Here is a 12573-nt window from a genome sequence, read left to right on the forward strand (position 1 = left end):
AGGGTCTTTCACCCCGTTACTTCCATGTGTATCTCATGCTGGGAGAACAAAAATATTTTCTTTTTTTTTTTTTGAGACGGAGTTTCGCTCTTCTTGCCCAGGCTGGAGTCCAATGGCACAATCTCAGCTCACTGCAATCTCCGCCTCCTGAGTTCAAGCAATTCTCCTGCCTCAGCCTCCCAGGTAGCTGGGATTGCAGGCATGCACCACCATGCCTGGCTAATTTTTTGTATTTTTAGTAGAGACAGGGTTTCACCATGTTGGCCAGGCTGGTCTCAAACTCCCGACCTCAGGTGATCCACCTGCCTTGGCCTCCCAAAGTGCTGGGATTACAGGAGTGAGCCACCGCGCCCAGCCTTTTTTCTTTTTTTTTGAGATAGAGTCTTGCTCTGTTGCTCAGGCTGGAGTGCAGTGGTGTGATCTCGGCTCACTGAAACCTCTGCCTCCCAAGTTTAAGCGATTCTCCTGCCTCAGCATCCCCAGTAGCTGGGACTACAGGCACAAGCCACCATGCCCAGCTAATTTTTGTATTTTTAGTAGAGACAGGGTTTCGTCATGTTGTCCAGGCTGGTCTCGAACTCTTGACCTCAGGTAATCCACCCATCTTGGCCTTTCAAAGTGCTGGGATTATAGGCATGGCTACTGTGCCTGGCCAACAAGGACATTTTCTAGCACACCATAATGATCAAATTCAGGACACTGAACTTCACTATAGTACTATTATCAAATCTACAGCCCATATTCAAATTTCACCGATTGTCCCTCTAATGTCCTTCATGGCAATTATTTTCCTGATTCAGGATTCATTTCGGGATCAGGCATTGCATTGAGTTCTTATGACTCTTTGGGCTCCTTCGACCTGGAATCATTGCCTTTCTTTGTCTTTTATGACTTTGACATTTTTGAAGAGTACATGCCAGTTATTGTGGAGAATGTTTTCCAATTTGGGTTTATCTGATGTTTGCTAATGACCAGATCCAGGATTACAAAGTTCTTTTTTTTTTTTTTTTTTTGAGACAGAGTCTTGCTCTGTCGCCCAGGCTGGAGTGCAGTGGTGCAATCTCGGCTCACTGCAACCTCCGCCTCCCGGGTTCAAGCAATTCTCCTGCCTCAGCCTCCTGAGTAGCTGAGATTACAGGTGCCTGCCACCGTGCCCAGCTAATTTTTTTGTATTTTTAGTAGAGACAGGGTTTCACCATGTTGGTCAGGCTGGTCTCGAACCCCTGACCTTGTGATCCACCTGCCTTGTCCTCCCAAAGTGCTGGGATTATAGGCGTGAGCCACCGCGCCCGGCCATACGAAGTTCTTTAGCAATAGAAACTCCTGTGCGGGCCCGTCACAATCCACAGTCCACAGTCACTAGGAGTCTTTTGCCTGGGTTGGGTAGTTTCAGCTGCTGAAACAGGGAGCCAGGAGGAGGGATCAGAAGGGCGGCCCGCAGCCAGCGGAAGAGGAGTGCGAGGGAGCTCGGTGGACCAGGGAAGCGGTGTCCACAGTTCCCTTGTGGGGCCTGAGCCAGGGCTTGGTTCAGCTCTGGGTGGGGGGGCCGGGTGGGCAGGCACCCAGCAAGAGGGCTGGGCCTCTCTAGGATGCTTGTCCCGAAGGTCCCAGGCATCGAGATCACTACCCATTTCTGGCCTAAGAGGCACTGGAAATAGCTCTAGGACAATTATTTCAGGAAGAATGTGCTATTCCTCCATCTTCCCAGAAAGCCAGGCTGTGTCCTAGATCAGGACAGTCCCTCTGCAGCCTCCCACCTCAGGGGAACCTCCAGCCCCACTGAAGGCCCCAGAGGCCTTCAGAGCCAGAAGGGGCTGGGAGTCAAGAGTGGGAAGTGAGAGGCCCCTTTCCTGGTGGGGGAGGGGAAGTTCTGGCCTTCGATCCTGGGCTCTTAGGGCCCAGGCTGGAGTTAGGCTGGGCCGGCTGGAGTCCAGCTGACTCCAAGCCCGGGGCGCATGATGGGAAGGATATGGGGAAGAGGTCTGCCCCACCTCTTTCCTAGGCTCAACCCTGGGAAGCTGATATTTGTGAGGCATATATCATGTGCCATAGAACATGATATTGTGGGTCCCAGGCCCTTCTCAGCCTCCTTCCCTCCCATTTAATCCTCACAGCACCCCTAAGAGGTATTTTGTTTTCCAGATGAGGTAATCGAGGCTCAGAGAAGGCTAGAGACTTGCCCAAGCTTGCCCAGGAGGCTTGAGTGAGAACCTGGCCTTCTTAAGTGCAAAAGAGGGTAGGCTGTCCCTCCCACTCGGTGAGGACTCAGGAAGTGGCCCTGTGAACTGAGTAGCACTGGGAGGGGTCTAGTCTGGAGACCCAGGATGTTGGACAGCAACAGTCCCATCCCCCACTCGCCCCATTCTCCACTCCCCAGCCAAGCCCAGCTGCCCCCGCTTCCAGCGCTGCAGAGAAGATGCAGAGTCTCAGAAGGTCCTGGGTGGTGGGGTGCCCTGTCCTGCCATCTCCAGCCACAGTGGTACCCGCTGCCCCACCTGGCCCCTCTCCACCACCTCCAGCATTGGATCCTTGGCTTCATTGCCAAGGATAAACTGGCTGAAAAGTAGCTCTGCATCATCCGTTGCCCTCCCCCTGCACCCACCCCCAACCGGCTCTCCTCATTCTCACCTATCCCCCCTCCCACCCACCAAGGGCCACAGTCCCACCAACATCCTCTGCCCATCCTGTGCTCACCAAGAACACTAGGGGCCCTTCCCCAACCCCAAGCACAGAAGTTCCAAGGCATCTCATTCTCTGTGCTCCCCTGGGTAGGGGGAGCAGCTCCCTTCTCCAGAGACCTGAGGACCCTGACCCATTAGCACAGGTGCTGCCCATTAAGCCTTCACCTGCCGCTCAGCAGTTTCTCTCCTTCCCTGGGGCCTGAGAGAGTGGGAAGTGCCCCCTTATCCCTTCAGCCACATGGCTCTTATAAGCCCAGCTCAGCAGCCACATGTTTGTGACACCCAGGTCAGTTCAGGGGACAGCTAGAGCCAAGAGCCCTCCACCCTGCCCGAAGGGCATCTGTGTCCAGCCTCAGGCAACTGTTGGCACTGTGTCCTGAGCCTATACCTGGCCTTGAGCCAACTTGCCTGCCAGACTGGAAAATCTCTCCTGGGCCTGGACCTGGCCCTCCCCCGGCTGCAGCCTTATACCCACCAGAGCACAATGAGTCACGCGTCCTCCTCACCTAACACCCTCAAGGATATGGGGCCCCTGCTCACCCACTGCCAAAAACAGCACTTCCCCAAGTCCACATGTGGCAGGCACAAGCCAGGGCAGATCTGAGCTCAGGAGCACTGGGCAGGAGTGTCTTGGCAGGAGTCCCTGCCAGGGAGAGCTTCCCGCCCGCCAAGCTACCTGAGGGCTTTGCAGGTAGAGCAGCCAATCTGGGAGGCAGCAGGGCTCCCATCTTGATGGGGCCCGGGAAAGTCCCTGTAAGGAGGGTGCAGGAGGACGGTCACAGGCAGGCTTATGTACAACCTTGCTGAGAGAACAGCGCCCACGGAAGGTAGGACGGCAAGTAAGAGGCTTGTGCTGTGACCTGGGGCAAACAGGTGAACTTCTCCAAACCTCAATCTCCTGTTCTGTGAAGTGGAGGTGGGGAGGGGACTTCCGGAACACTGTTGACTTGACTGGCTCGCAATCACAGCGAGTGTTCACAACGTGCTCCCCGTGTCCCAGGCACACTTCCGAGTGCTTGATTACCTTACGAGTGGCTGCAGCCGTGTGCTGGCCCACAAGAGCCAACTGTTAAATGTTCTGAAATGTGGTGAATGGTTGTTAAAACACAGGTAGCTTGAAATCAGCCATAAGGAAAATATTTGGACGACAGGAATTGGCAGATATGACACATTAGGACTTGTTGCTGTTGTTGTTGTTGTTTTGAGACCGAGTCTCCCAGGCTGGAGTGCAGTGGTGCAATCTCGGCTCACTTCAGCCTTTCAACCTTCCTTCCCAGGTTCAAGTGATTCTCCTCCCTCAGCCTCCCGAGTAGCTGGGATTACAGGCACGTGCCACCACACCCAGCTAACTTTTGTATTTTTGGTAGAGATGGGGTTTCACCATGTTGACCAGGCTGGTCTTGAACTCGTGACCTCAAATGATCCGCCCGCCTCGGCCTCCCAAAGTGCTGGGTTTACAGGCATGAGCCACCGCGCCCAGCCCCTTTCCTTTAATCGTCAGATATAATGGCTCAAGTCTCCATCCCGCGGGCTGTGGGAAGTCCAGAGCCTTCCCTGCTATTTTTCAAGGAGCCCAGAAGGCTGTTATGGCCTTTTGTCACCCCTCACTCGGAATCTCTGCTTCTGGGTCAGTGTTCAGCCCCTCTTGCTGCCCCACCTTCTGTGACTGTCATGTTCTGTCAGCAAAGTCGCAGCCCCTGCCACACTGCTCTGTGACTGCTACTCCACAGGAGACCTTTCTCCAGCTTCTCTCTTCCGCCTGCCCCTGTTGCGTGGCTCCCACTGCCCCCGTAGTCCTCCCACCCTCTGGCTGCTGAGCCTGAAAAATGGATGGCTTTCAGCTGTTGACTAGAAAAGCCAATATTCCCTGTTCTTTCTTGTACCCAGCAGAGTGGCTCCTGGCAATCTTGATTCTCAGCTGGGGTGGGGGGTGGGGGGTTTCCTTGACAAATGAGCAGACTTCCTTCTGCCAACCCCACTAAGATGTGGGAGCAACAGATGACAACTTCTTCCTTCCTGCAAATATGCTTTAGATGACAACATCCTTTCAATAACATTGTGAGGTAAAAGCCATTTCTCCCAGGAGGCTGAGGTGGGAGGATCGCTTGAGCCCAGGAGGTGGAGGCTACGGTGAGCTGGGATCACGTCAGCTGGGTGACAGAGCACGACTCTGTCTCTAGCCTGGGTGACAGAGCAAGACTCTGTCTCAAAAACAAACAAACAAAAAAGAGTCATTTTCCCAAGAGAGGAATTTGGCAGTGAGGTTCTTCTTTGTACCAGTTGTACCAGCTGGGTTACCTTGGGTAAGTTATTTCTCTTTTCTGAGACTCAAATTCCTCACCTGAGATAATATCTGCTCCACCAGGTTTATCCCTAATGTAGTAGGCTCTCAATCAATACTAGCTGTTGCCACCATTATTTGACAGTTGAGAAAATTGGGTTCTAGACCCGGCTCTGTTATTAATTTGCTGAATGAGCTGGGCCTCAGTTTGCCCAACTGGAAAAGGAGGAGTTTGGGGGACCAAATAGGGGACCAAATGGTCTCTAAAGCCTGTTCCAGTCCTATTGGTCTCAGTAATGGCATCCTCCAGTCTCGGGACCCTTCCTGACCTCTTCAGCTGGCTGTTCATTGTACCCTTTTTGTTTCTTTGTTTGCTTGTTTGTTTTGAGACAAGGTCTTGCTCTGTTGCCCAGGTTGGAGTACAGTGGCATGATCATAGCTCACTGCAGCCTCAAACTCCCAGGCTGAAGTCACCCTATCCCCCCTTAGCCTTCAGAGTAGCTGGGACTGCAGGTGGACACCACCACACCCGACTAATTTTGTTTCTTTTTTGTAGAGATGGGGTCTCACTATGTTGCCCAGGCTGGTCTTGAACTCCTGGACTCAAGTGATCCTCCCACCTCGGCCTCCCAAAGTGCTGGGATTACAGGCATGAGCCACTGTGCCTGGCTATTTGTATTCTTTATCACAAACCAGTAGATGTAAGTAAATCACCTTCCTAGGTTCTGTGAGCTGTTCTATTAATAGCAAATTATTAAACCTGAGGAGGGAGTTGTGGGAGTCTCCAATTTATAGCTGGTTGGTCAGAATTATGGGGGTGAGGTGGCCCCAGGACTTTCAACTGGTGTCTGAAGGGGGACAGTCTTGTGGGGCTGAGCCCCGAGCCCTTTAAATTGTGGGATCTGATGCTAAAGTCAGGTAGACAGTGTCAGAAATGAATTGAATTGTTGCATACCCAGTTGATGTCAAATAGATGAAAAAGTGGTTGGTGTCAGAAAACACCTCCCAGCCTCCACTTAAAGAAGCTCTAGGCCGGGCACGGTGGCCCATGCCTGTAATCCCAGCATTTCAGGAGGCCATGGCAGGATGCGGTGGCCCATGCCTGTAATCCCAGCATTTCAGGAGGCCATGGCAGGATGCGGTGGCCCATGCCTGTAATCCCAGCACTTCGGGAGGCTGAGGCTGGATGCAGTGGCCATTGCCTGTAATCCTAGCACTTTGGGAGGCCAAGGCGGGAGGATGCTTTAGACAAGCACTGCCTTTCAATAACATTGTGAGGTAAAACCATTTCCCCTGGGAGACTGAGGCAGGAGGATCGCTTGAGCCCAGGGGTTCAAAGCTGCAAGTGAGCCATGATTGCACCACGGCACTCCAGCCTGAGCAACAGAGCGAGACCTTGTCTCCACAAAAATTTTTTTAAAAAAGCAATTCTTTTAGGCTGGGCACAGTGGCTCAGGCCTGTAATCCCAGCACTTTGGGAGGCTGTGGTGGGCAGATCACTTGAGGTCAGGAGTTTGAGACCAGCTTGGCCAACATGGCGAAACCCTGTCTCTACTAAAAATTACAAAAATTAGCGGGGTGTGGTGGTGCCCGCAAGTAATTGCAGCTACTCAGGAGGCTGAGGCATGAGAATCACTTGAACCTGGGAGGCAGAGGTTGCAATGAGCCAAGATTGCACAACTGCACTCCAGCCTGGGTGACAGAGTGAGACTCTGTCTTAAACAAACAAACAAAAAACAGTACTTTACAAAAATTAAAATTAAAATTAAAATTGATGAAAGAAGACCAGCCGTGGTTGCTCACGCCTGTAATCCCAGCACTTTGGGAGGCCAAGGCAGGCGGATCGCCTGAGGTCAGGAATTCGAGACCAGCCTGGCCAACATGGAGAAACCCCGTCTCTACTAAAAATACGAAATTAGCTGGGTGTGGTTGTGCGTGCCTGTAGTCACAGCTTCTTGGGAGACTGAGACAGGAGAATCACTTGAACCCGGGAGACAGAGGCTGCAGTGAGCTGAGATCGCACCACTGCACTCCAGCCTGGGTGAGAAAAAAAAAATAATAGTAATAAAATTAATGAAAGAAGTTCCTACCCGCAAAATGAAATGTGTCCCAGGAAACAAGGAGAGCATCTTGTTCAGAGTGGGAAGGCACCAGCCATGATCACTGAGAGGATGTGACAAAGCCTGCTGGTGGCTTCCCAAGAGGCACGGTTCTGTTTAAATTTTTCTGTTCACGGCCGGACGTGGTGGCTCACGCCTGTAATCCCAGCACTTTGGGAGGCCAAGGTGGGCGGATCACAAGGTCAGGAGATTGAGACCATCCTGGCTAACATGGTGAAACCTCGTCTCTACTAAAAATACAAAAAATTAGCCGGGCGTGGTGGCGGGCGCCTGTAGTCTCAGCTATTGGGAGGCTGAGGCAGGAGAATGGCGTGAACCCAGGAGGCGGAGCTTGCAGTGAGTGAGCCGAGATCGCGCCACTGCACTCCAGCCTGGGCGACAGAGCAAGACTCCATCTCAAATAAAAAAAACAAAACAAAACAAAATAAATTTTTCTGTTCACTTGAATTTTTTCACAGTGATACACTTGAATAGAAAATGCAGGGGTAGGATGCAGCAGAAAGAGCCCTGGCTTGCGTCTGGAGTCCTGGGTTCTATTGTCAGTGCTATGCCGTTGAACCACTCTATGACATTGACAAGTCCCAGCCTTTCTCTGGGCCACACTAGCCAGTCTCTACTGGCCTTTCCAGAGCTCATACTTAATTAGATAATTTTCATTGACTTCAATCCACACAAGTGTTATCTACTAGATGTCTGTTTATTTACATATCAAATCTCCTCCCACCAGCCACTGAGGCCCTAGAGGGTAGGGGCTGTCTCCCCAGAGCCTGGTACAGGCCCTGGCACTTTGTGGGTTCATGGAAGGAGGAGAGGACAGATGAATGATTGCCAGCCTGTGTCTCAGAACACCTCTGCCCCTGAAGGGTTTGGGGTTCCTGGACAGGAACAGGAAGCCTTGGATCTCCTTGAGACTGGTGCCCACTCATGCACCTCCTCCTGCCTGTGCCCCTGGATGCCCTGAGAGGTGAGGGAGGTGGCAGGAGTAAAGGGTAACTGGATTGGAGGCTCAGAGGCTCAGAGGCCTCCACTTCCTGCAGTGGAGACCCTGCCCAAGCCTGGCTCCAGCCCTGACCTCTGACTCCACCAGGAGAGTGCCAGGAAACAGACCTTAAGGCCGGAAACCTTCCTTGGGCTTGGCCTGGACCCAAGCTCCTACCGGGCATGGGCTGAGCCCTGCCTGGACCCAGTGGACCAAAAAGCCCACCCTTCTTGCTCAGCCTGGCAGAGCTGCTCTGCTGTAGCAACTTGGGGACAGTCTTTGCCTCTGAAACCACCACCAGCAGTTCCAAGCAGCCTGCCCTGGCAGGGAAGGTGCTGGGGTCAGGAGCTCTGGGTTCAGTTCCCACCTCTACTTCTCAGTGTCTGGGAAAGCATGGGCACTTTGCCACGCCTCCCTGAGCCTCAGTTGCTTCATCCTATTTCACGCTTAGGGATTAAAATAGAGAAGGTCTCACATGAATTCTCTTCCTTTACCATATTCAAGGAACTCAAAACAAGTTAAGCTTCCAGATACAGCTGAAGCCCTGGCCAACTTCACACCCCTTCTTCTTGGAGGGTGGCACCATCTAATCTCTGATTATCTTTGCTACGTGTATTTATTCTATTCCTACACATTGCTGTATATGGCATAGCATTGGTCTGCATGGATTCAAATGTTTTACATACTATGACATTATACTGAATGCATTATTCTGTAATTTGCTTTTTTACTCAATAAAATGCTTCTGAGATCTATCCATAGCGACACATATGACTCTAATTTAATCATTTTCACTGCTTAACATTGCATTCTATATATACCCAATTCATCCATTCTCCTGTCAATATGCATACTTTTAAGTTGTTTCCAATTATGTTTCATTATTTCAAGCAACACTGAAATGAATATTCTCATACATGTCAAAAAAAAATGAATTACAGATGAGTGTTATCAGGGAGCACATATTCATTGAGCCGGGGTATTCACTACAGGCTCTGATGACAATATGTTATGAGCCCAAACTACAGCAAACGACTTGACAATGGGACGGAGCACTTAAGATTGGGACTCTCTGGGACAGGAAAGCAATCATTGCTGCCCTGTGTTCAGTGTTTCCTATGGGCCAAGCCCAGTGTTCAGTGCTTTATCTCCTTGAATTCTCACAGAAACCTTGTGAGGGAGCTATTGGTGTTACCCTAGGTGAAGAAACTGAGGCACAGAGAGGTTAAGCGTCTCAGTCTGGGTGCAGTGGCTCACACGTGTAATCCCAGCACTTTGGGAGACTGAGGTAGGTGGATCACTTGAGGCCAGGAGTTCGAGACCAGCCTGGCCAACATGGTGACACCCCCATCTCTAATAAAAATACAAAAATTAGCTGGGCATGGTGGTGCATATCTGTAATCTCAGCTACTTGGGAGGCTGAGGCAGGAGAATCGCTTGAACCTGGGAGGCAGAGGTTGCAGTGAACTGAGATTGTGCCACTGCACTACAGCCTGGGTGACAGAGCGAGACTCCGTCTCAAAAAAAAAAAAAAAAAAAAAAAACACAGAGAGAGGTTAGGTGTCTTGAAAAAGATCACACAATTATGGTTGAACAGGAATTCAAACCAAATCTACGTCTGTCTGATACAACTTCCCACATTTCAACCAGAGCAGAGGGTCCCTGGTACGATGCCGCAGAGCTGTGGAAGCACAAAGGCAGGAAGGACGGGTCCCAACGGAGAGGTGCTCAGGGAGGGCTTCCTGGGGGAGGTGACAGTCCCAACCAGCCTAGAAAGATGAATATTGAAGAGGGCAGCAGTGGGAGGCATCTGGGAGGGAGACATTTGGGCCAAGGCTTGGAGGCTGGCCGACTGAGCCCCTGCCCCCAAATCACTCATCGACCCCTTGACTCCTCCCTGCCATTCCCTGCATTTCTCTTTCTTCCAGCTCCCCTCTGATCTCTGGGGTCCATCCTTCTCTTTTTACCTTCTTTCTCTTGAGTTCTGTCCTATCTCCTCATTCCCCAGTCATCCATTCATTCACTTGTTAATTCATCCACTCATCTAACACAAACTGAGCACCAGCTCTGTGCCAGGGCATTGGAACCTGAGTGAGGCAGTCCCCAGAATTGGTGGTGAGTGCGTCCACCACACTCAACTCAACCCCTAAGAGGAGGCTCTGAGATCTGCCCTGTCCCTCAGACGCACCCAGAGACAAACACACCCTCACACCTAGCAACTTCCTAGAAAACACCTGGAGGCAATCATGGCTCTCGGGCGCCCCTTGCTGGTAACTTGGGATGTTGCATCCTAGGCTGGAGAGTCCAAGTGTGACCCTAGGAAGGTGCTGCCCTGGCTCCCCACAAACTCCTGGTGCACTGCAACTTCTGCCAGCAGTTCCATTCTAGGAGTTTCTAAGAGTGCAGTCCTTGTCATAAATGTTTAGTGCCCTACCCTTTTGTTTGTTGTTGTTTGGTTTTTTTTTTGAGACCAATCTCACTCTGTTGCTCAGGCTGGAGTGCAGTGGCTCCATCTTGGCTCACTGCAACCTCCGCCTCCCGGGTTCAAGTGATTCTCCTGCTTCAGCCTCCCCAGTAGCTGGGACTACAGGTGTGTGCCACCATGCCTGGCTAATTTTTGTATTTTTTAGCAGAGATGGGGTTTCACCATATTGGCTAGGCAGGTCTCAAAAGTGATCCACCCATCTCAGCCTCCCAAAGTGCTGGGATGACAGGTGTGAGCCACTGTGCCCGGCCTAATGCCCTAGGCTTTGTCAGGCCCAAGCCAAAGGCCAGAGTAAGAAGCAGTGACAGATGTATGTTTGTTGTACTGGGAAGGGGGGACGGGATGGGTGCTCTGGAATGTGTGTGTGCATCATGGATGTGTGTGCACCAGTGCTGTACACGGGAGGGGTCTGTACACGGGGGTGCCTGGGTGCACATTCTGAGTTTGTGCTTGTGTATCATTGTCCTGCGGTGAGCAGGCCTATGCAAACCACCACCAAAGACCGAGGGAGCTGAGAGGCCAAAGAAAGAGGCTGACAAGTGCAGTTTATCAGAAAGAAAATAGGGACTTGCAAACAGAAGTTGCAAATTCATTTACTCAATAAAGTGCTTTTGAGATCTATCCATAGCGACACCGTCAAGCAATTGCAAGATGGTGCACCCCTGCACCTACCTTCCAGAAAACATTATTTTTATAGCAAGCTTTTAGGGTAAAGACATGTGCAGCTGGTCATGCCTCAGATATTCTGAAGCTCTTGACCACTGGGGAGTCCAGATTAGCATTTTTTTTTTTTTTTTGAGATGGAATCTCACTCTGTCACCAGGCTGGAGTGCAGTGACACAATCTCGGCTCACTGCAACCTCTGCCTCCCGGGTTCAAGCGATTCTCCTGCCTCAGCCTCCCGAGTAGCTGGGATTACAGGTGCCCACAACCATGCCTGGCTAATTTTGTATTTTTAGTGGAGACGGGGTTTCATCATGTTGGCCAGGATGGTCTCGATCTCTTGACCTCAGGATCCACCTGCCTCAGCCTACCAAAGTGCTGGGATTACAGGTGTGAGAGACAACGCCCCGGCCGTGATTAGCGTTTTTTTTTTTTTGAGACAGAGTCTCGCTCTGTTGCTCAGGCTAGAGTGCAGTGGCGTGATCTTAGCTCACTACAAGCTCTGCCTCCCAGATTCACGCCATTCTCCTGCCTCAGCCTCCCGAGTAGCTGGGACTACAGGCGCCCACCACCATGCCCGGCTAATTTTTTTGTATTTTTAGTAGAGTCGGGGTTTCACCGTGTTAGCCAGGATGGTCTCGATCTCCTGATCTCATGATCTGCCCACCTCGGCCTCCCAAAGTGCTGGGATTACAGGCGTGAGCCACCGTCCCAGCATCGTGATTAGCGTTTTTATGAAGGGTTATCTATGCTACAGCCATTGTCTTAAGAACTTGCTGCAGAATTTAAGAACTTGCTGGTCAGGCAGGTGACTCATGCCTAAATCCCAGCACTATGTGACAGTAACACCCTGTATGTACAAATTTTTTTTTTTTTTTGAGACAGAGTTTTGCTCTTGTTGCCCAGACTGGAGTGCAATGGCGCGATCTCAGCTCACTGCAACCTCTGCCTCCAGGGTTCAAGTGATTCTCCCGCTTCAGCCTCCCAAGTAGCTGGGATTGCAGGCATATGCCACCATGCCCAGCTAATTTTGTATTTTTAGTAGAGACGGAGTTTCTCCATGTTGGCCAGGCTGGTCTCGAACTCCCAACCTCAGGTGATCTGCCTGCCTCGGCCTCCTAAAGTGCTGGGATTACAGGCGTGAGCCACTGTGCCTGGCCTCAAATTTTTTTTTTCTTTAATTAGCCAGGTGTGATGGTGTGTGTCTATAGTCCCAGCTACTCGGGAGGCTAAGGTGGGAGGATCACTTGAGTCTGGGGGGGTCAAGGCTGCAGTGATTGCACCACTGCATTCCAGCCTGGGTGACAGAGCGAGACTTTGTCTTAAAAAAGTAATAAAATTGCTGCAAAACACTGTGGTATGCT

The 12573-nt window shown here is 51.3% G+C and overlaps 2 annotated features.

The window, feature by feature from the left end:
* Positions 8061-8724: an enhancer, noted in NCBI's record as "H3K27ac-H3K4me1 hESC enhancer chr1:22288389-22289052 (GRCh37/hg19 assembly coordinates)". NCBI's record gives its function as "activates a minimal SCP1, AML or CMV promoter by ChIP-STARR-seq in naive H9 embryonic stem cells {active_cell/tissue: H9 hESC(naive)}" and the evidence as "EXISTENCE:reporter gene assay evidence [ECO:0000049][PMID:30033119]".
* Positions 10209-10476: a silencer, noted in NCBI's record as "fragment chr1:22290537-22290804 (GRCh37/hg19 assembly coordinates)". NCBI's record gives its function as "represses an EF-1alpha promoter that drives an FKBP-Casp9 reporter gene in an ReSE screen in HepG2 liver carcinoma cells {active_cell/tissue: HepG2}" and the evidence as "EXISTENCE:reporter gene assay evidence [ECO:0000049][PMID:32094911]".

Source organism: Homo sapiens, chromosome 1 (assembly GCF_000001405.40).
Source record: "Homo sapiens chromosome 1, GRCh38.p14 Primary Assembly".
Lineage (NCBI taxonomy): Eukaryota > Metazoa > Chordata > Mammalia > Primates > Hominidae > Homo > Homo sapiens.